At 36.5% G+C, this 23,972-nt stretch overlaps 1 long non-coding RNA gene across 1 annotated transcript in view; it reads left to right on the top strand.

Moving 5' to 3' along the window:
• The window catches only part of CPEB2-DT (CPEB2 divergent transcript), a 92,085-nt gene that overhangs the window by 6,235 nt on the left and 61,878 nt on the right, over positions 1 to 23,972 (top strand). The window contains exons 4-7 of the long non-coding RNA NR_038857.1: positions 461 to 557; positions 2,909 to 3,099; positions 5,257 to 5,357; positions 10,435 to 10,590. This is a non-coding gene — a long non-coding RNA (CPEB2 divergent transcript). The remainder of the gene's footprint in view (positions 1 to 460; positions 558 to 2,908; positions 3,100 to 5,256; positions 5,358 to 10,434; positions 10,591 to 23,972) is intronic.

The following is a 23,972-nucleotide window of genomic DNA, read 5'->3' as shown; positions in this document are numbered from 1 at the left end:
ATACTTGTCTCCTAAGTAGCAACAGGGCTCACTTAATCATGTTTTTATCATTTTTTTTCATGTCTCTCTCACGTCTCTGCTAAAAGTCATTTTTCAGTGATGTCTTCCCTGACCACCATTGTAATAAAATGACAACCCCCCGCCGCCACTCTTTCCCAGCCTTCTTATTCCTCATAAGGTGTTTGTGTTTCCATCTGACCCACTATGTACTTGAACTGTTTATCTGTCCTCTCTCTGAGATCACAAGCCCATGAGGAAAGGTCCATGCCTGTTTTGCTCACTGTTGTATCCTCAGCACTTACAACGATGCCTTGCACATAGTAGGCTTTCAAGAGTTGGGAATTGCATGCACTTATTAAAGGGGTTGTTGAATTAATAAATAGCAATTTTAGGAAATGATAGCTAAAAGAATACAATAGTAATACAAGGGTCTGTTTATAAATGGTTAATTTGTTTTCAGGAGCTGTCCAAACACCATGCAGATGCTCCTAGGATTCTTAAACTAGCCAAAAATAATTCCAGGCATTGTCAGATATAGGATAAGTACATGAAGACAGGTAAGTCATCCCAAGACTATAACGCTGGGGAATAGATAACCCTGGAGTACAAGGGGGAAAACTTCTGTCTCAGGAGACTAGAGTTGGGACTCCAGGAACACAGGGGTTCATTACAGGAGCTTGAACAAAGAGAGGAGTCAAGACCCCATCTCATAGAAATGGAACCAGTTCAGGAGGCACTGCAGTTAAGGTCAACTGGATGCCTTACTTCCATGCTGCTGGTTTCTTTCTGTGGCAGAGCCCATGCCCATAAATGTAATTAACCCCACAGAATGGGAAAGCTTTGAGTCTTTAGATGGGAGCTAATTAGCTCTGGTTTGGAGTTGGAAAAGGAGAAAGTAGAAATTAAGATTCATTCTGACCTTGACCAACTTCAAGGTGCTTTATTGATGTGGCACTCAAGAGTAGTACCATCCTCAATTACTTCTAGTTCTCCTACTTTTCTAAACCTTCCTTCATAATTTCCTCCTTCACTTTCTCCTTACATATTCTTTACGTGTGAGAGTTCCTTAGGCTTATGTTTCTGGTCCTTTTCTATATTTCTACCTACTTTTTCTAGATGAATTTATTATCATGTTTTCAAACATCATCTAAATGCTAATGTCTTCCAAATCCATCTCTTTAGCCTCATGGTCAAAATCATATTTCCAACTGCCTGTTTAACAGTTTGACCTGGGTGTCCTTCAGCCACATCAATTCAATGTGTCTATACCTGCATTCAACATCTTCCCCAAAATCTGCTTCTCCTATTTTGCTTCTTGTCTTGGCTGACGTCATCATCACACAACCAGTTTCTCAAGCTGAAACATGAGTCATCCTCTTCCTTCATCTCTCTCACCCTCCAAAAACAATTGTCAACCATGCTCTGTCAATTATACTGCAGAAACGTTACTCAAATGTAATTCCTTCATGTATCTCCGCATTCCCTTGCCTTTCACATTCCTGGAACACAAGTGCCCAATAAGTATTTGTTGATTAGTAATTGCCCAATGAATGCTGTAAGAAGAAAAGATGAAGAAAAGGAGAAAACAAGGTAAGGAAAGGAAGGAGGGAGATGGAAGGAAGGAAAGAGGTAGATGTTTCCAAAGCATGCTTTACAAAGACATGAGCCATTTTGTGGATAACTGTAGCATTGTTACCTTATGTTTACTGGAGAAAAAATAAAATGAATAATCATAATAACAATGACAAAAAAGTTATTTTCCTTCCCAATATTTTTTCCTTGACAATACCAAACTAAAAGTTTCACTCTGGTTATTACGATCTCTATTCTGGTTATTATGCCATACAAAGATGAACTCATTGACAAAGAAAAATATCAAGAATCTTCCCCTGATGACAAAGTGTAGCCCCGAAACATAATAGAAGGTCTGTGTTACCCTTTGTGGCATCCAGGGGATTTATCATCCCACTCCAATACCCCCACCTAGGAGAGAACCTGTCAGCCTCTCCAGTAATTTCTGCCACGATGCTCACTGGGCCCTTACGTAGACTGACTGACTTCTCTATTGCTACTTATCTTGTATCTTTAAGGCCATGTGAACTCGATTGAATTACAAGTCTTTGTAGGCAGTTGCTATGCCTTATATGTTCTTTAATTTTCCTAGTTCTTATTGATTGATTTATGTATTCAGAAACTCTCTGTTGAGTGCCTGCTCTGTACCAGACACTGTGCAAGGCACTATGGGTATAACTGTGAAAAGAACAGAAAATATATCCATTATTCTGTACATCCTCACAGAGGCTGTAAATAAATACTGTTGACATTAGTTATGATAATTCCCAACCCTAATTATCTGGGCAGAGTCATAAACAGTGAGACTGTAGGCTGAAACTGACCTACTAAATTGGAATCCTACTTGCTGCAATATGACCTTGCCGGGCTGGTCATCGGTGGAGCCTTGTGATCTATACAGAATATTGAGGTAAGGCAAATCTAGCAAGAAGGCAGAAAAAATTACACACTGAAGCTCATCTCAATCCTGGCTTGAAATGGGACTTCTATTATTTCCTTTTCTTGTCACAATATACTTTGTGAGTAGATAAAGCGAATAATATTTTTGTTTTGTTGTTGGAAAACCAAAGCCCAGAGGTAAAGTCGTTTGCTTGAGATGGTTTGCATAGACTGAGATTAATGCCCCCATCTCCTCATTTCTCAGTCTCTTGCTTCATTAGTTGGCCCTCAGGCTAGTGCTAGAAGCAAAGACAAAGAGTGGGCCACTGCTCAGCAAGTACCTGAGTAAAACAGGGTCACAGGGACACACGCTTAAAAACGGTGCTTGGGTATATATATCCTGAGGACTTGAAACCAGTATGTCGAAGCGACGTCTGCACTCTTGTGTTCACTGTAGCATTAGTCGCAGTAGCGAAGACACGGAAACAACCTAAGTGTTCACCAACAGATGAATGGATGAAGCAAATGTAGCATATATACACAGTGGAATACTATTCAGCCTTTAAAAAGAAGGAAATCTGGCTAACTGCAACAACATGGATGAACCTGGAGGATATTATATAAGTGAAATAAGCCAGGCATGGAAAGGTAAAAACTGAATGTTCTCACTTATATGTGGAATCTAACACAATCAAATTCATGGAAGCTGGGAATAGAATGGTGGTTATCGAGGCCAGGGGCTGGGAGAACAGGGAATGTTGGTCAAAGGGTAGAAAGTTGCAGTTAGATTTAAAATGATAAGTATTTAAGCTGATTGATATGTTAACTAGCTTGATTCAATCATTCAACTCTGTATACATATAACATCACTGTATGCAATAATAATATACAATTATAATGTCAAAAAATAAAACTTTTTTTTTTTTAAAGCAACAGTCCCTGCTTCTACTAAAAGTTAAGGAGTGGAAGGGATAATCCTTCAAGTCTTCACAGTGACACCTAGCTACATGAATGAAAATTGGTAGTAGAGACCTCAGAGAAAAAGCATCTTATTTTCAAAATAACATATCCCACAGAAAATCAGAGATATTCCTCACATATGCTTACTCATTTTTCTCCTGTAGTAAGAATGAGGTCTGGCAGTATATATTGGATATATTGTATTTTTCCACATTGTGGTAAGCTAACCACTTCAATTGATAAATTATTCTAGGCAGAGAAAAGTGATGCATCTTGACTAAATATTAAATATGTAGACTTTAAGTAGATGAAGAGCATTGCATCTATCAAATTTGACCTTAATATGTTTAGAATCTTAGAAGATTCAACATTTTAAATGTTTGTTTTCAAAACTCTAAACGTGCAGTTAAAAAGAAATATCATGAAGCTTATATGGTAGCAGGCATTATCACCAGCCTTTGTACAAGGATTGATTAAATGTAAAGACAAGAGAGGAAAAACATTCAGAGGGAAGAGGGATATTTGATTTTAGTCTTAGTGCTTCATTGTCAGTGCTAGCAATTCACTTTTGCTGTCTCCTTTTTTTTGTGGGACTTGAGAAAGGACTATAGGACTTTATGTCATCTCACATCCAAAATTCATTTATAGTGTAAGCCATTGTACTAACATTGGAGTACGTAATTCATAACAATAAGAAAAAACATAGACCTCAATTTTCAATAGAAAAAAATAGACAAACTGGTACAGAGAATAAGAAACTCTAAGATTTTCATAAGGACATGAATCGTGTATATGAAAATACCATTGTTTGTAGGCCCACAGTTGATGCATATTCATCCCATATTAAGAGATAGGGAAGAGTGATATGATGGACACACCAGGGCTATGGAGTCAGAGACGTGGCTTTTAGTCCGACTTCCTCTGTTACTATGTAACTTTGGCAGTTAAACTTTGGGAACCTCAGTATTCTCATCTGTGGAGGTAAAGACAAACATTACCTGTGAAGCGGGGGCTATGGTGATGATAATTAGCAATATTTTAAGTAGAGAGTCTTCTACAGTGTTTGACACAAAATAGATGTTTAAACAAACAGAAAAAACATCTTAGCTGTTATCTGCTATGCAGTTCAAGGTAAAGAGTAGATGAGAAAGCCAGCCTGAACACAGTGGTAGTCCTGGAGAATGGATAACCAAAGCAAAAGCAAAGCAAAACAGTTACCAGACAACATGGAGGTTGGTAATGGCAGTGAAATCCTTGATTGCTAGCAGTGGAAGGAGATATCCAAATAAAAAATGAGAAAAAAAAAAAGCTAAATTCCTCTTGGATCTGGAAAACATAAAAAATTTCTGAAACTTAAATGTTAAACATATTCAATGACTATTTTGTACCTCTAAGAAAGACCAGAGACCAGTTATGCAATTAGGGCAAACTCTGACTTTAAGGATATTACTGAATCCCACTACCAGTTCTGACACCTATGGGGAAGGTTATGTTTACCTGGGCATGTTAACCATCCTCATTCTCTGATTTCTCATCTGATAAATAACATAGAGAAATATGTTTGAAAACACCAAATGCTGTTAGAGCACTGATCTTCAAACTAGGATATGCCTAGACCATTGTGGTCCAATAGAAATACAACACAAGCCATAAATGTGAGCTATATATGTAATGTGAACTTTTCTAGTAGCCACATTTTATTTTTTACAGACAGGGTGTGGCTCAGTTGCCCAAGCTAGAGTGCAGTGGTGTGATCATAGCTCATTGCAGCCTCCCACCTCAGCTTCCCAAGTAGCTAGGACTACAGACGTACACTGCAATGCATAACTAATTTTTAAAAAAAAGTTTTTGTAGAGATGAAGTCTTGCTGTGTTGCCCAGGCTGGTCTCCAACTCCTGTACTCAAGCTAGCTTCCTGCTTTGGCCTCCCAAACTGCTGGAATTAAGGTGTGCACTAGCCACATTTTAAAAATTAAAAAGATACAAGTGAAATTAACTTGAGTAATGTATTTTATTTAAATCAATATATGCAAATTATTATTATTTCACCATGCAATTGATATACAAGTTATCACCACTTTACTGCTTTTCTCCATCTATTAAGATGATTGTAGTTTTATGGTTTAGTGTATTTAGTATATTAAATTGGTTGATTTTCATATTTTAAGCCAACCTTGTATTCCTGGGATACATTTCATTTGGTTATGGTGTATAATCCTTTTTATATGTTATTGGATTTGGATTGCAAGTAATTTGTTGAGAATATTGGCATGTATGTTTATGGGGGTTATCAGCTTGTGGTGTTTTTTTTCTTGTGCTGTTTTTGGTATTAGAGTAACTAATACTAGTCTCATAGAATGAGTTGGGAAGTATTCTTGTAATTTTTTTGTTAAGAGTGTGTGAAGTATTGATATTAATTCTTCTTTAAGTTTGTGGTAGAATTGACGAGTAAAGCCATTTGGGCCTAGACTTTCCTTGTGGAAAGTTTAAAAATTGTTAATTCAATTTGTGTTTGTTATAAGTCTATTCAGACTTTTCATTTCTTCTTATTTTAGTATGAGTTGTTGGTGTTTGGGAATTTGTTTATTTTATCTAGGCTTTCTAATTTGTTGATATACAATTGTTAATGGCATTCTCTTTTTTAAAAAGTTATTATTTACTTATTTTTTTTTTAAATTAATTTGTTGCTGGGCTGGTCTCAAATTCCTGGCTTCAAGTGATCCTCCTGCCTTGGCCTCCCAAAGTGCTGGAATTATAGATGTGAGCCACTGCATCCTGTCTGTAATGTTCTCTTCTAATCCTTTTTATTTCTATGAGGTTGATGCTGAGGTCCCCTTTTTTATTCCTGATTTTAATATTTTGATTCCTCTTTTCTTGTTCAGCCTCACTAAGTGTTCATTAATTTTATTGATTTTTTTAAATAAGTAACTTTTGATTTCATTGATGTTCGCTATTTGTTATCTATTTCGTTTATTTGTGCTTTAATATTTATAATGTTATTTATTCTGCTTGCTTTGGTTTTAGTTTATTCTTCTTTGGTAGTTTTGAAAGATAGAAGTTTAGATTATTAATTTGAGCTCTTCCTTCTTTTCATAATAAGCATTACAGCTACAAATTTCTCTCTGATTGCTGCTTAAGCTGCACCTAATAAGTTTTGGTATGTTGTATTTTTGATCTCATTAATCTCAAATAATTTTCTAATTTGCCTTGTACATTTTAAAACCATTTGTTATTTAAAAGTGTTTAGATTACTTTTTACATATTTGTGTTTTCCAAATGTATTTGTTATTGTGACTTTTAAATCTATTCCGTGATGGTCAAAGAACATCCTTTGTGTGATTTAACAGTCTTTAAATTTATTGAGGTTTCTTTTTATGGCCTTTTAACATACGCTTTATCACGGAGAATTTTCACTGCATACTTGAGAAGAATGTATGCTCTGCTATTTTTAGAGTTTTCTACAGATATGTTACATCTAGTTAGTTTATAGTGTTGTTCAAGTCTTCAGCCATTATTGGAAGCAGGTTATTGATGTTTCCAATTATTATTGTTAAATGTCTATTTCTCCTTTCAACTTATGTATTTGAATTCATGTTTTAGGAGGTTCTGTTGTTAGGTGCATTTATGTTTTTATTGTTTGTCTTCCTGATGAATTGACCCTTTTATCACTATGTCTTTTTTTGACTCTAGTAACAAATCTTGTCTTAAAGCCCTTTTGTCTGATACTAGTATAGCCACTCCACTTCTCTTTTGGATACTGTTTGTATGGTATACAATTTTCTATCTTTTCACTTTGGACTTACTTATATCTTTGAATCTAGTGTGTCTATTGTAGATGGCTTATGATTGAATTGTGTTTGCTTCATTCTGCATTCTCTGTCTTTTGACTGGAGAGGGATACGCATTTTTATTAGAGGAATGATATAGTCATTATTTGATAAATTGTACATTCATTGCTTTATTAAAAATTAGCTGATAAGGATTATCATATTAATTTATATTCCTTTTATAATTGATGAGATGCATTACTTGTATTAGATCTATATTAAGTTTGACGTCCTTTCATAATCTGTCTTATAGGATTCATTTTGTAACATATTTCTCAGTGTTCTGTGGGTTTTGTTGTTTTTTGTTTGTGAGATGGAGTCTTGCTCTGTTGCCCAGGCTGGAGGGCAGTGGTGTGATCTTGGCTCACTGCAACCTCCGCCTCCTGAGTTCAAGCAATTCTCCTGCCTCAGCATCCTGCGTAGCTGGGATTACAGGCGCCCAACACCACGCCCAGCTAATTTTTGTATTTTTAACGGAGACAAGGTTTTGCCATGTTGGTCAGGCTTGTCTCAAACTCCTGACCTCAAGTGATATGCCTGCCTCGGCCTCCCAAAGTGTTGGAATTACAGGTGTGAGCCATCGCACCCAGCCTCAATGTTTTAATAATATTTTTTGCAATGCAAATTAACACATTTGTTTGAATTGAAAAATAGAGGCAGGATTTTTCTGGAGGGAAAGTTCAATTTGGCTTACTGGTTTGCCAATATATGTAGTACACATGTTCCATAAATTGATCTAAATATGAAGGACCACAGTTTTGATTTTTTATAAATGTATAAAATTCAAGGGCAAAGTATAATGCAAATATGAGTTCAAAGAGAAAAAAATCTAAAATTTTTAAATTAAAACATCTTTCTCATTAAAAAAAGATAGTCATGGGTATCAGATTGTTATGATATTCAGATTTCATTAAATACATTAAAAATAATAGTAATTTAAAGTGACAAAATAAAATATATACTGAAATTACATCCTTTGCAACAATTATTTCAACTTATAATATTTTTAGAGGACTTAAAATGTATGTATAAGACATTTAAAAGTGTTCAAATATGCAAGCTATGTTTTGGAAAATATTCAGTTTCTTTAGGTAATTCTTAAGGGAAAAAGTTTGAAGAATAGATTAAAACCCTCCAAACTCATAGTCTCTAGTTGCCTTAGTTACTACTATATTCCTAGTACCAATCACAGCCCCGTGATTGAATGAGTGAATTAATGTGTTAAGTGCCCTGAATGGTATTGCAAATTACATACTTGCTGCCTAAAGAAAGGACAACCCAGGAGGCTGATGTTTTCCTACCTAGGTTAGGTAATTAGTTAGTAGGTAGAGAGCTGGGTCTTGATGTAAATGGGGAAAGGAAAGGGATACCTACAATCCTGACTCTCTTCCAGACAGCCCTGGATGGCTACGTTTACCTTTGGCAGTCCCTAGATAATGAGAGTAAGATTAGGACCTAGACTTAAGAGAGCTCAACAAAGTGTTAAGATCCATACACAGCAATTACCTTGAATTCTACACACTTTCCTGGAGCATCTACTTCTTGCCTGGCACTCTGCAAGGCACTGGGCATGGAAAGGTGAAGACGACAAGGTACATGGGCAATATACTTAAAGAAAGAGTTCTGATGAAGCAGGATAAATGCTGTAAGAGGACCATATCATGTTATAAGTTCAAGTACTGGAAAGTGCAGTTATTGACCATTTTGGCCTACCAAAAACTGGTAACTCATATGGTTCAACCTACATGTTATATGCAAATCCATGTGAAAGAACAGTAAGTCTTGAGGAATTTATTAAGCAGAGCAAATGATGTGCAGTTGGTGACATTTGAGCTGTACATTGAAGGATAAGGGAGAAGATGAGTGGATGGATAGGTGGCAGGTGGGGCATTTGAGAGAGCATAACCAGTAAGAGCAAAAGTGGAGAGTAATGGAAGGTGCAGATGCCATCTGGAAAAGGACACTGAGTGTTCTTTGTGTTGAGATCTGGGAAGTGAGGATAAGAGCGGAAAGGAGCCTCAGACGTATGTTAAGAGTGCTGCAGGCCCAAGACAACACTGTTCCGCAAGCAAAGGCAAGCTACCAAAACTTTTCTTAGAGGGAGTGTTGTTAACAGAAATATTTAGAACCCCCTCAGGTGGCTGAATGGGGAATGGGTTGCAGATAAGGAGATTGAAACTGGAGGCACTGAGATACTTAGGAGGTGGCTGCAATAGTTAAGGTGAATATAGTAGATGTGTACAGGGGTTGAGGAGTGGGCATGTTTCTCTGATGTAATTGTCATAGTTTGGCCAATTATTAGGTTTGACGGGTTAGTTAAAAGAGGTGCAGGTTCAGGAGTGGCGGGAAAGAGTAAGCTGAGTGGAGATATCAGAGAGTAAGAGTAGGGTTTTGGTCTATGGATCTTGGTTTTTGTTGGTGTGCAGTTGATAGCTGAGGCCATGAAAGTGTATGGGATTATCAGGCAAACTTACCTAGGGAAAGCAGGGAAACAGAATAAGGGCAAAGGGCAGAGGAGGGAGTTAGGGATGAATTTGTACCTTGTACTTTGCCTCATTTTATCTCTGTCACAGCACTTGTTTACCTGAGTGTCCACTCTTCACAAGTTTGTGAGATCTCCAAAGATGAGTATGAGCTAGATCTTATCCATTCTTTGGAATCCTCAAAGCTCCACTATACTCAAAAGGTAGCCACTTAAAGAAGTACTGACTGGATCATCCCCTTATTTTCTAGGTTTCAGGCATTGTTCTAAGTGCCACATAGGTGCCATTCCATTTCACACTTCATAATAGCTTTATAAATTGATGCTATTATTAGCCCCATTTTACAGATAAGGAAACTGAAGCATGAACTCATTCAAGGACACAATGAGTAAGAGCCTGGATTTAAACTCAGACAGTCTAAAACCAGAGGTCACTGAGTACTAAAGCCTATGCTATGGAATGAGTGGGATCAGAGTGACTTCTGTTTAGTACTTTGCAGCTTTGAATTGCTTTCATAAGCAATTCTAGTATCCTCAAAGTAACTTTGTAAGATGGGGGGGGGGGTAATACTATTATCTACATTTGATTTGTGAGTAAATGAAAGCTAATGTCAAGTATATTCCTGAAGACACACAGTAAGTGGCAAAATCACCACTGTCTTCCGAGTTACATTCCTGTGTTCTGTTCACTCCATCTTGTTTCCTGTGAATCCAGTTGTCTGCCCTATTGCTCAACAAGATAAAATGTCTGGGCTGGTGGCTGGAGGCTGGAGGAAGAATCTGGAAAGAGAGAGAGACTGTGGAAAAGGCATAGAAAGACCTTTGAACTAGCAGAACATATTTCTTTGAGGGACTTAGGAACTTCATTCTGGTAAGACTACAAGATATCAAACTTACTTGTGAATTCTAACATAGTCTCTTTTATTAATAATCAAGAATGTTTGAAATTTAGGTACAAACTGTGTATAGAAATGATTGGTTTGTTGGTTGTAAATGTAAACAGAGATAATTTACTAACTTGTTATTTCTTCATCCTTGCTGAGGTCATACCGTAACTTTTCCTTAGGCATAACATCAGGGGTCCCTATAGTGTCTAAAGGCTTTAGTCTCTTTGGAGCCTTCTGTAGTTCATTTACTGAGGAGGATAAGATTTATCCTCTTCATTGGAGAATGGAAACAAGAATGATGGATTCTCAACTTGTATAAGGCATTTGTTTTACCTAATCCTCTACCACACATAGATTTTTTTTTTTGATGTCTAGTCTCTTAGCTAGGATCAACTCACAAAAGATTTCAAAGGAACTGAAAATGAGATTGATATTAAGCTTTATACTTGTGTTCAGCTCATTTTAGTTCAGAAAAAAATGTCCCCGTACATCTGACAGATACTGCCTTATTTGAAATTTACAAATCTTAGGCAAGGTTGTCCTGCCATTTCTCTGCCATTACACAAGATTGGTTATCTTGCCAAGTTTCACTATTGCTAATATAGACTCTGAAGCAACAAATATTACAAAGGATTTATAGAAGAGAAATCTCCTGTTTTGTAAGTTAAATATAGACTTGTTTTTTCATATGAATGGTGAAAGTATATTATCTCTATGGCCAATATGTTTAGGCCCTTAACTTATAAAATAAGCAATGTTGTAGAAATTAAAACAGAGATACCTACATTCTTCTTGTTTAGGGAAGGATGGAAGGAAGGAATAAAATTCAGTAACTCTTTCTCCTAATAGTCATATTTATAATATTAACTATTAACAATTTATAATATAAACTATTAGCATTTATGTAGTTCTCTCCATATGCAAGGCATTATTCTGAACATTCAGTACCCTTTTCAAATCTGTGATAAATATTACTATTGTCTTCATTTCAAAGGCGAGTGAACTAAGGCACAAAGGTGTTAGGCAGCTTGCCTGAAACCACAGAGCTAATAGTAGTAACAGTATCCCAGAGTTCCTGCTCTTAATTTACTGTGCTGAAATTGTTGTGGATCTCATGATTTTGTCTCCACTAAACTGGAGAAGACTTCCAAGAGGTGGTGACAGTTTAGAATATCTTTGTTTTTTGTGAGGATATGTGGTGTTTGGTTTTCTTATTTTTTGGTTTGTTTGTTTGTTTGTTTTTGAGACAGGGTCTTCCTCTGTCACCCAGGAGGGATGGAGTGCAGTGCTGTAATCTCAGCTCACAGCAGCCTCTGCCTTCCAGGCTCAAGTGATCCTGTCACTTCAGCCTCCTGAGTGAAGATCTTTGAAAGATGGGAGTTAATTCACAAGAATGGAAATCTAGAGAATTTCAGTGTTTGAAAGTAAACTTCTGATTCTTACTGAAATCCGGAACAGTGCTTCTCCATGAAGCAGAGATGTGATGCTGCATTAACTTTATGAGAAACTGATTGCTGAGTGTCAGCATGGTTTTTCTGTTGACCTTATTGAAACCAGGGGCCGCAGATTTTCATTTACACATTCATGCTCATTGTTAGTGTCCTTCCTCTAGGTCATACACTCTGCAAATGGATGTTGTTTCTTCTTTTTCCCTTCCCTCCCTTCCTTCCATTCTCTAAGTCAATGAAATCAGTTAAACAAGCCTCTGTGCCAGGGGCTGATGAGTAAATAAATAAATAAATGAATAAGACTAGTGCTCTGGACTTTAAGGAGACTCAATGATTTTTTTTTTTTTTTGAGACGGAGTCTTGCTCTGTCGCCCAGGCACCATCTGGGCTCAGTGCAAGCTCCGCCTCCCGGGTTCACGCCATTCTCCTGCCTGAGCCTCCCAAGTAGCTGGGACTACAGGCACCTGCCACCACAACCGGCTAATTTTTTGTATTTTTTAGTACAGACAGGGTTTCACCCTGTTAGCCAGGATGGTCTGTATCTCCTGACCTCGTGATCCACCTGCCTTGGCCTCCCAAAATGCTGGGATTACAGGCATGAGACACTGCGCCCGGCCTCAGTGATGGTTTTAAATGGCCCTCTGTTCATGGTGTAAGCAGGTAAAAAAGAGGGAATTGTTACTTCAACCTGGGGCATTGGGGAAAGGCTTCATTGGAAAAGCTTAGTACTTGAGTTGAATCTTAAAAGATGTGTAGGTTGGGGGTGAGATAGAGGGAAATGGGAAGAACATTCTAGAAAGAGGTATCGGCAAGAATAGCCAAGCCTTGGAGGAGACAAATAGTAGGAAATGTTATAGAAAGGGAAGAGGGTGTTGCCTAGATGGAGCAAAGGGGTGAGGTGAGGCCATTTGAACAAGGCTGGAGAAGTAACGGAAATCAAGCCAGTCGAGACAGGGATTCATCACTGAAAATCCACTTCCAGGACCTGCACCCAACACAGGACCTGTATATGGTTACATAATTTGAACATTCCCAGCAGTTTGTCATCTAGTATCTGAGATTCAGGGCTTCAGGGATGCTGGATACTTTTACTAACATATTCTATGGTGTTTTATATAGGTCCTGGCAAGATTAACATTATTATTTTCTATGATGACAAATAACTAATACGAAATGAGGATCCGTTTGATCTTTCATATAAGGTCTAGAGAATGTTTCTTCACAGTTACCCCAGACCTTTGGTATAGCATCTGTTTTTCAGTTCTAATGCAAAAGTATGTTACTGAGATTGAATATTAACTACTGGTAATATTCATTCCAAATACCTATTTTCATCAAATTTCTTTTTTTTATCTTTTAAGTTCAGGAGTACACGTGCATGTTTGTTACATAGGTTAACTCGTGTCATGGGGATTTGTTGTACAGATTATTTCAGAGGTATGGAGCCTAGTACCTATTAGTTATTTTTCCTGATCTTTTCCCTCCTCCCACCCTCCACTCTCCAGTAGATACAGGGGTCTGTTGTTCCCCTCTATGTGTCCATGTGTTCTCATCATTTAGCTCCCACCTGTAAGTGAGGATATGTGGCATTTGGTTTTCTCTGACTGCGTTAGTTTGCTAAAGATAATGGCCTCTAGCTCCATCCATGTTCCTGCAAAGGACATGATCTCATTTTTTATGGCTGCATAGTATTTCATGGTGTATATGTACCACATGTTCTTTAGTCTACCATTGATGGGCAGTTAGGTTGATTCCATGTCTTTGTTGTTGTGAATAGTGCTGCAGTGAACATACACGTGCATGTGCCTTTATGATAGAACGACTTACATTCTTTTGGGTATATACCCAGTAATGGGATTTCTGGGTCTAATGGTAGTTCTGTTTTTAGCTCTTTGAGGAATTGCCATACTGCTTTCCACAATGGTTGAACCTGATTTACATTCCCAGCAACAGTTCCATCAAATTTCCCAAAACATAAATATGTAATACTTGTGATATGCCAGACAATGTTATATGCATTTTACTAACAATGCAATGAGAGATAGGCATCTTCATTATCCCTAGCTGATAAATAAGGAAACAGTAGTCGAGTAACTTGCCCAAAGTTATAAGCTAGTGAATGTGGGAGGTGGTAATTGTGCACAGGCAACCTACTCCAGAGATCTTAGGCCTGATTATCATTTATCTACTCTTCCAATTTATATATTTTTTTCAAACTAAATCACTGGACAGATTTTTAATTTCTTTTCACCACTTGTTTAATAGACATGACACTATATTATGTTAATATAATTCACATATACAAACATTACATGCCCATATGTGATACATGATAGTTATTATAGATCAGTAGTTCTCAACCCTGGATATACATTGAAATCATAAAGTGAGGGAGATTTTTGTTTGTTTGTTTTTGTTTTTGTTTTCGTTTTGTTTTGTGACAAGTTCTCATTCTGTTGCCCAGGCTGGAGTGCAGTGGCCCGAACAAGGCTCATTGCAGCCTCGATCTCCTGGGCTCAAGCAATCCTCCTACTTCAGTCTCCCAAGTAGCTGGGACTTTAGGTGCACTCCACCATGCCTGGCTAATTTTTAACATTTTTTGTACAGTCAAGGCCTCATCATGTTGCCCAGGCTGGTCTCGACTTTTGGGCTCCAGCAGTCCTCCTGCCTTGGCCTCCCAAAACGCTGGGATTACAGGTGTGAGCCACTGAACCTGGCCCATGTGATGAATTTTTAAAAAAATTGTTATTGGCTTAAGCCCCACCTCCAGAGATTCAGATGTAATTGCTTTAGGTGAAGCCTGGACATCAGTATTCAAGAAACTCCCCAGGTGATTCTAATATCCATCTGGGGTTGAGAACCACTGTACAGACCAATCATTTATGGTTTACTTCAGGCACTGTACTATATATTTTATACACATTATTGTCATTTCACATGACAACATGATTAGATAGGGTATAATTATTGGTGTTTTACAGATGTGGGAATTGAGGAACCAAGGGGTTATATATAATTTGCCCAAGTTCACACACCTAGTAAATTGCAGAGACAATGTATGAGGTAAAACCACATTTTCTTAGTTGTAACTACCATGCATTAAAATTAATCTGTGTCATAAATTAATTTATCAGCATTCTGGAATATATTTATTTGTATATACATGCTAAAACTCTTAAAATCTCAATAATTTAACCAATTTTCCATTCGGTCTGTTAAAAATACCTTTGAAACTAAATTATATATCTATTTCTATTATATACAATATATATTTTATATTATGTAATATATTGTTATATATGCCATGTATTTCTAATATTAACCTTTTCATTTCATCTTTTTTACTTCTGCATATCAATATGTAAAACATTCTAAATAAGCTTTCAAATACGTGAGTAACTTTTAACACCTACTGGTTGTTAATATTTCTATTGAGAAGAAAATAATATAAAAGCCATTTATCCTTAGTGAAAAAAACTTAAGTTACACTGTGTGAAGAATGTCCTAACCACAAGCAGCATCCAACAGCTAATATTGTTTTTGAGCACATGTTTGCTACTATGCCAAATAGAGTGTCTGCTACTTTCTATGTATTATTTCATTTAATATATTCAATGCATTACCTCACCTCATCTCTATATTTAAAACTTCCACGTTTGCATATCTAGCTCAGGACTCCCTTCTGAGGTATGAACTGCTTATTCAACTACCTACTTGATGTCTTCCCTCAGATGTTTGAGAGGTACCTCAAATATAACGTGTGCAAAATGAAGCTCTGTTTTCCTCCATTTTTTTTGTTTCCTCAGTCTTTTCCATCTCAGTAAATGGTTCACTGTCTACCCAGTGGCTTCATGCCGGAGAGCTAGGACACATATTATATTTGTCTTCCTTACCTTCCAAAATGATGTTGTTCGTTTTATCTCCAAAGTGTATCTCAAATCCATCCGTTTCTTTCTATTGCCACTGCCACCACTGTAGTCCCATCCATCGATATCGCTTGACAGAACCTTACTATAACCTCCTAACTCGTTCCCTTGTTTCCACTCCTGTTCTCTTATAATTCATTCTTTACCCAGTAGCCAGTGTTGCATCCAGTTCATCATTTATTTTTTTAAAGTCATCCAGTGGTTTCCTTGGCCTAGCCTACAAGGCCCTGTATCTTCTACCATCAACTCAACCCCTCACACGCCATGCTCAACTATCCTGGTCGTTCAGTCTTCAAACACTCTAAACTTTGTTCTGACTTAGAGTTTCTGTGCTTGCAGCTGCCTCAGCCCAGCTGACTCTTCTCCCAACTGCACAGCTGGCTCCTCATCTTTCAAACTTCATCTAAGATATATTTCCTCCTAGAAACCTTCATGGGCTGTCCACTCTAAAGTGTCCTCCTTCTCAGGCCATCTTTTATTTCCTCAGAAGCATTGCTCACCAATATGTAAGATTTAATTCATTTATTTATTTTATTGTCTATTTCATTTGAATATGAGATCCATGATACACTCAGATATGCCCTGTTTGACTTATCCCCAGCTAGTTACTTAGCATGTAGCACAAAATATGCTCACAATAGAAGATATTTTAGTTCTATGTTAAATGAATATAAATGTCATGAATCTTTAATATGCAATAAAAACATAATAATCTTTCCCTGAGATTTTAAGAGAAAAAGCTAGACTAATGGTTCCCAAACTCTATTTTATGTAGTAATAAAATAAGAGGGAAAAAAAGCAAGAATGAAAATTATGTTGTGAAGATTCTGCTATTGTTGTTAAGTATGTCTAGTTATAAACAAGAAAATCGCCACACTTTGTATGTCTGCCATCGTTGTACCAGACAGAATGGTGGAGAGCTAAAAGCATTCTAGGCCAAAGATTGCATCTATAAAGGCACAAAAATGGAGATGGTATGGTGGCTTGGAGTAAAATCAGTAAGTATAGTTTGAAGAAAGTGACCAATAACAAGTTTGAAGAAGTTGACAGGTTTAGATGATGGAGAGTTTTATAAACATGCGAAAGCATTTGGATTTAACTCTATAGGGAGTGTGAAGCTCTATAGCATAAAACAGCTTTCAATGGGAGAATGATGTGGTCCAATTTGTATTAAAAAATTATTTTGTGGCCAATATGGCAAATGGTTTGGAGGGAGATGAGATACAAATCAGAGAATCCAGTCAGAAGGCTGTCGGAATAACCCAAAAGCGAGATGGTAGGTCAGGCTTGAAATGAGGAGATGACATTGAGGATGAAGGTGAAGAAACTGGTCTTTGCTATTAGCAAAATAGCAAAAATTCTTGGAATGATTCCCATAACGTTCCAATTGAACACTGGTTCCAGTTCTGGCTTCTATCTTCTACCTATGAGATTTCAAATGCATTTCCATGTTGCATATCAGCTGGCCTCATAACATCCTTTTTTTTTTTTTTGCAAATATATCTTAAAGAAAACCATTACACTATAGAGCATTCATTATGAGGATTAAAAGAAGAAATGGATGTGAAAGCACTTTTAAAGTACTAGACAAATGGAAGCTATTTTTACTACCAGTAACTCAATTTAGTTTACAAAGAGAAAAATCACTTTCTAGCATGTAAGCTCTGGTAAGCAAACTCCCTAGGCAAAATGAATCATTCTTACAACCATAGCACTTTTTTGTACTTCTATCATAACACCTCCATTAATTATAAATTGTTTATGCATTTTTTTCATAGTGTATAAATCTTTTGGAGGCAGAGACAGAGGAGTCTTATGAATCATGCACCCTGGTTTATGGTAGACAGTAAATGGTCAGCAAATGTTAATTGCATGCATGAGTGAATGATTAGTTCACAGGAAAGGATAAAGCCAGGTAGCAGGGAGCTGGTACAGACATCAGAGATTAAATAAACAATAGGGCAAACATGTTAAAGTGAAAAGATTTAGTGTTATTAATGATCATATATTCCATTTTAGTCTACAAGATATGTATAGTGTACGTAGTGTATATACTGGTATATATATATGTGTATATATATATGTGTGTATATATATGTATATATATGGTATATATATGTGTATATATATATATGGTGTATATATATATATCTTGTAGACTGTACTACAAGACTGAATGCCAAAATTATCAACTTGCTGTATGTAAAGTTATTTTGTAATACTAATAATTAAAAATCCTTTTGTAGTATTATATTTGTTTATCCATTCATTCAGCAAATCTGTTTCCAATGCCTGTTAAGTACAAAACACCGTGTGGACATGTTCCTATTCTCAAGACGTTTGCTATACAGTAGGAAGGAGAGGAGGGCCTGCTCTCTGCCAAACACTGTCCTAGGAGTTTTGCACAATCCATTGAGTATTCTCTATATTTTTAACAGCCCTGAGAGGTAAGCATTATTACACCCATATTACAAATAAGAAACCTCAACACATGGACACAGGGAGAGGAATATCACACACCGGGGCCTCTTGGGGGGTTGGGGGCTAGGGGAGGGATAGCATTAGGAGAAATACCTAAGGTAGATGACAGGTTGATGGGTGAAGCAAACCACCATGACACGTGTATACCTATGTAACAAACCTGCACGTTCTGCACATGTATCCTAGAACTTTAAGTATAATAAAAATAATAATAATAGAATAAAATAAGAAACCTCAACTAAGAGAATATTATTAATTTCGCTGAGACCACAGAGCTAGGAAGAGGCAGAGGCAGGTCGATTGATAACAAGGAAGAGCATCAAGGATTATTTCTTTTTCAGAGTCTGGATCCATTGCAGCCATTTTGAAATTAACAAATAATAAGGGAAGGCCAACAAGGACAGATGTATAAAAGTATAATGAATCATAACAAGAGCTTCATCCTCCTGGAATTATTGGTTTAGTAGTACGATTTGGGAAAATGAATACAATCACAAGGTGGGAACTTAACCAAAGATGGTCAGATCATTGGGGGAAACAGCTCTCAGAAAGTGAGCAGCATCTAGGTGTGATATGAAAGTGTTCTGGGCTTGGAGGGCCAGAAGATTACTATTTACGACATCACTGCAGTTCTAGTTGTGTGGTGGTGGGAAGGACACTGAAATTTCTTGACCTCACTGCCCTAATTTGTTAAATATAAGAAATAATAGAGCTTTCTACCTTATTTTAAGAATTAATGGGTGGATGTATGGGAAAGCAGTTTCTAAAACGTGTTACAAATTTATGATTAAGAAAGCCAATTTCACAGAAACAAATTTTTGGTATAAGAGCCATCAAATAAGAGAAAGTATAAAGAAGTGACTTATACATGCTTATCCCTAGTAACATGGTGTCTGTTACACAGTAAGTGCTTAATAAATACTTTTTGAGCTTAGCTCCCGAATGACTGAAAGACACAAGAGAAAATCAGATTCTCTCTCTTCAAGTGAGTGGGAAGACATGTTACACCCAACTTGTAACCTATTCAACACACAAAACAGTTGTCAATAAATATTAGTTATAATCTAAAGTGCTGATTAAATTGGATCTTCTTTGTCCATTTGGTTGTTTAAGATACATAGGTACTTATGTGTTGCAGAGAGGTATGTACATGAGTACATGACTGTGTGTCTGTGTCTAAAAGAATATACTTGGGAGTTCTGGGGAGCTGTCCTCATATTTGTTTGGTTCTGTTAAGTATCTAATTCCTTTCTATTGGTAAGGGTTGGAAGCATGCAGCACAATTGGGCTCTAGAGTAGTACCATATATTTTCCATGGATATTATATTTCAGCAGGTATTATAGACACCCGTTAAAGGGATAAAGCTTAAGCCTGGTAATGCTATACGCTAGCCAGAGAGAGAATTTATTTGAGGAAGGCTGGTTTACTTAGCACCATCAAACCACATATTCGTAGTTATCAATCTGCCTACCACAAATACCTTTAAATTAAATAGGTGAGTATACATACACATGCCTTTGCTAAGAATGTGGCCAATACTCACCTACAAATCTTAATCTTGTGAGGAATAACAATAATAAGATTACTAAACATTATAGGAAGTCTTTATTCTACTTTAACGTTTCATTCAATGCCATTTAATTGTGTTTTTGTAATAAGATGTTATTAAGAATAAATGTTTAGAACCTCTGCCTCCTTGAAGATAGAGTAGATTATTTGCCTCTCTTCCTCCCACTAAGGACAATGAATAACCCTGAATATTATATACAAAACAAAAATCTAAAAGTCCAAAAGGTAAAGAAAAGAAGGATAACTGTCTAGGCATCTTGGAACCCAAGGGACAGTAAGGCCCTTTGGTTTCCTTTTTTGCCTTGTATATCCCAGAATTGGAGGTGGAGAAACTAGAACTCTGTAAATGCTAACATGTTCAAACAGCAAACAAAGCCCCAACAAAAGCCTGCTCTCTGTAGTCAAACAAACAAACAAACAAACAATCAAAACAGGAAAAGGGCAGTCTAGCAGCACAGAAGCTTTAGAAAATAACCATTCTATTCCAGCCAAATACTACAGAAAAAAAAAATGTGGCCTGGCTATTAGCTATGCCAGCAAAGACCAAGTGGGTAGCCTAGAGCTCCACCCTTGCTAGGCTGTAACAAAGTGTTTCCCCCCAACACCCTAAACATACCTGGATGGTGTTAGATGGTGCTGGATGGTGTTAGAGGAGGCCGAGTAGAAAACTAGTACTTTCATTCTTGCCGAGAAATAATGAAGACCCCCACTCACAATGTCAGTGGAGACCACATGTAAACCTGGACTTCCACCTGCACCCTGCAGTAATTAGGTTCTACTCCCTCACGCTACTGAGCCGACGTCAGAAGATACCTAATGAAGAGTCTGGACTTTTGCTAGTGTTCAGTGGTAATGAGGCCATACAATCCCTGTAGTGACATTGGAGGACATGTGGGGAGCAGTAATGAGTCATTTGCACTTTTATCCAGGGTGGTATCAGGGGAGGACTAGTGGGGAGCTGAGACCCCCACTTCCTCTCAGTAGTGACATGGAGCCCCCTGTTCTCAGGTATCAACAGGGGCCAAGTGAGGAACCTGGACTTCTGTCTCTACCTGGAAGTAATGAGTCAATATCCCCTTCTGCTGTTGCCAGAGTGATATCATAGATAGCTAACAAAAGTATAAAGTTAAAATAAAATCTGGAGTTTGTTAACAAAATACCCAAAATATCCAGATTCCAGTCAAAAATGATTCATCAAACCAAGAACCAGGACGATCTCTCTTGAATGAATAATAACAACGAATGCCAACACTGAGATGACAGAGATGTTAATATTTGAGGAGTTTTCAACCATTATTTTTTCAGCTTTCCCTTTTTTCTCCCTCCCATATTCCAGTGACATGAATGTTAGAGCTTTTATTTTAGTCATAAAGGTCCCCAAGTCTCTCTTTTTTTCAGTATGTTAAGATTGCATAATTTTCATTGTTCTCACTTTCAGTGTACTGATTATCTTTCCTGTCCCATTTATCTGAAAAAGAAAGTTAAAGCAGCTATTATAAAGATGCTTCAATGAGCAATTATAACATGCTTGAAACAAATGAAAAAAAGTAGTTTCAGCAAAGAAGTAGAAGCTGTAAAGAAACTCAGATTTTAGAACAGAAAATGCAATAACAAATAAAAAAATTCAGTGGATGGACTCAACAGCTGAATGGAAGGAACAGAAAAGAATCAGTAAACTGAAAGAAAGAATAATAGAAATTATCCAATCTGAACAATAGAAAATAAACTTAAAAATTGAACAGATACTCAGGACTTATGTGACTATATCAAAAGATCTAATATTCATATCACAAGACTACTGGAACCAACAGGATGTAATCAGTAGTTACAGAACACTCAATCGACAACAGGATATAATCAGTAGTTACAGAACACTCAATTGACAACAGGATATAATCAGTAGTTACAGAACACTCAATCGACAACAGAATACAAATTTTTTTCAAGCACCTATGGAACATATGCCAAGTTAAATCATATTCTGAGTCATAAAAAGAACAACAACAAACTTATAACAATTAAAATCATCCAGAGCATGTTCTCTGACTATAGTGACATCAAACTAGAAATTATTTTAAAAAATAACAGTAAAACCTCCAATCACTTAAAAACTAGACAATTTACTTCTAAATAACCTTTGAGTCAAAGAAGAACTCTCAAGGGAAATAAAAAAATACATTGAACTGAATGAAAATGGAAATAATACATGTCAGAATTTGTGGGATGCAGCTAAAGCAGTACTGAGAGAAAAATTTATAGCACTAAATGCTTACATTGGAATGCAGGACACATTTCAAATTAATAGTCTTAGCTTCCACCTCAAGAAACTAAAAGAAGAATAAATAAAATAAAGCAGGCAAAAGAAAGGAAATAATAAAGATAAGAGTAGAAATTAACAAAATTAAAAATAGAAAAAGAGAGAAAAAGAAACAGTTGGTTCTTGCAAATTTCTAGCAAGAGTGACAAGGAAAAGAAAGAGAAGATGCGATTTACCAATATAAAAAAATGAAACAACTGATATCACCACAAACCCTGAAGACATTAGATAATAAGTGAATATTCGAACAACTCCACATACAAACATTTGATAACAAATAAAATGAACCAATTCCTCAAAAAGCAAACTCTCAACACACTCAATAAGAAATAGATAATTTTTATAGCCCAACAACTCATAAAAATTGAATTTGTAACTTTAAAACTCTTTGATCCCCACCCAAATCTCATTGAATTGTAATCCCTGATGTTGGGGGAGGAACCGGGTGGGAGTCTATTAGATCATGGGGAGGGGAGGATTTCCCCCTTGCTGTTCTCATGATAGTGAGTTCTCATGAGATATGGTTGTTTGAAAATGTGTAGCACTTCCCCCTTCTCTCGCTCTCTCTTCCTCCTGCTCCTACATGTGAAGATGTGTTTCTTCCCCTTGCCTTCCACCATACTTGTAAGTTTCCTTAGGTCTTCAAGCCATGCGTCCTGTACAGCCTATGGAATTGTGAGTCAATTAAACCTCTTTTCTTCATGAATTACCAGTCTCAGGTACTTCTTTATAGCAGTGTGAGAATAGACTAATACATTTCCCAAAAAAGAAGTATCCAGTCCCAGATTATTTTACTGGAGAATTCTACCAAATATTTGAAGAAGAACTAATACCAATTCAGTGCAGTCTAGTCTCTCTAGAAAACAAACTAGAACTACTTCCTAATTAAACTTACGAGGCTAATTGTATTTTGAAATGAAAACTCAAAAGAAGTACAGAATAAATAAAACTATAGGTAAATATCCCTCATGAATATAAACACAAAAATATTTTATAAAACTAACAAATATAATTCAATAATATATAAAAATAAAATAATTATACTTCATGACCAAAATAGATTTATTCCAAGGATGCAAGTCTGGTTCAATATTGAAGAACCAGCCAGTGTAACCCACCATATTACCAGAGGAAAGAAAGAAAAAAAACACACAATCATGTTAGTTGATGCAAAGAAAACAAAATAAAACAAAAAACATTTGACAGAATTCAGCGTGTATTTATTATAAAGCTATCATAAAAAATAGAAATACAGGATAACTTTCTCAGCTTGAGTAAAAAAATATAAAATATCTACAGCTTAGCATTATACTTAGTGATGAATTACTGAATGCTTTCCCCTTAAATTGAGAAGCATTATACTTAGTGATGAATTACTGTATGCTTTCCCCTTAAATTGAGAAAAAGACATGATGTCAGCTTTCATAATTCTTATTCTACGTAATGCTGAAGTTCTTTCTAGTTGTCGCAATTAAGGCAAGAAAAGAAAGACACACACATCAAAAAGGAAGAAATACTACTTTAACTATTTGTAGAAGACATGGTTGTCTACATAGAAAATCTGAAAGAATGTATTTTAATAACTCTCCCAGAACTCATAAGTTCAGAAAGATCACCGGATACC

Source organism: Homo sapiens, chromosome 4 (assembly GCF_000001405.40).
Source record: "Homo sapiens chromosome 4, GRCh38.p14 Primary Assembly".
Lineage (NCBI taxonomy): Eukaryota > Metazoa > Chordata > Mammalia > Primates > Hominidae > Homo > Homo sapiens.
Note: the sequence above shows the minus strand (reverse complement) of the source record. Positions and strands in the feature narration are given on the sequence as shown.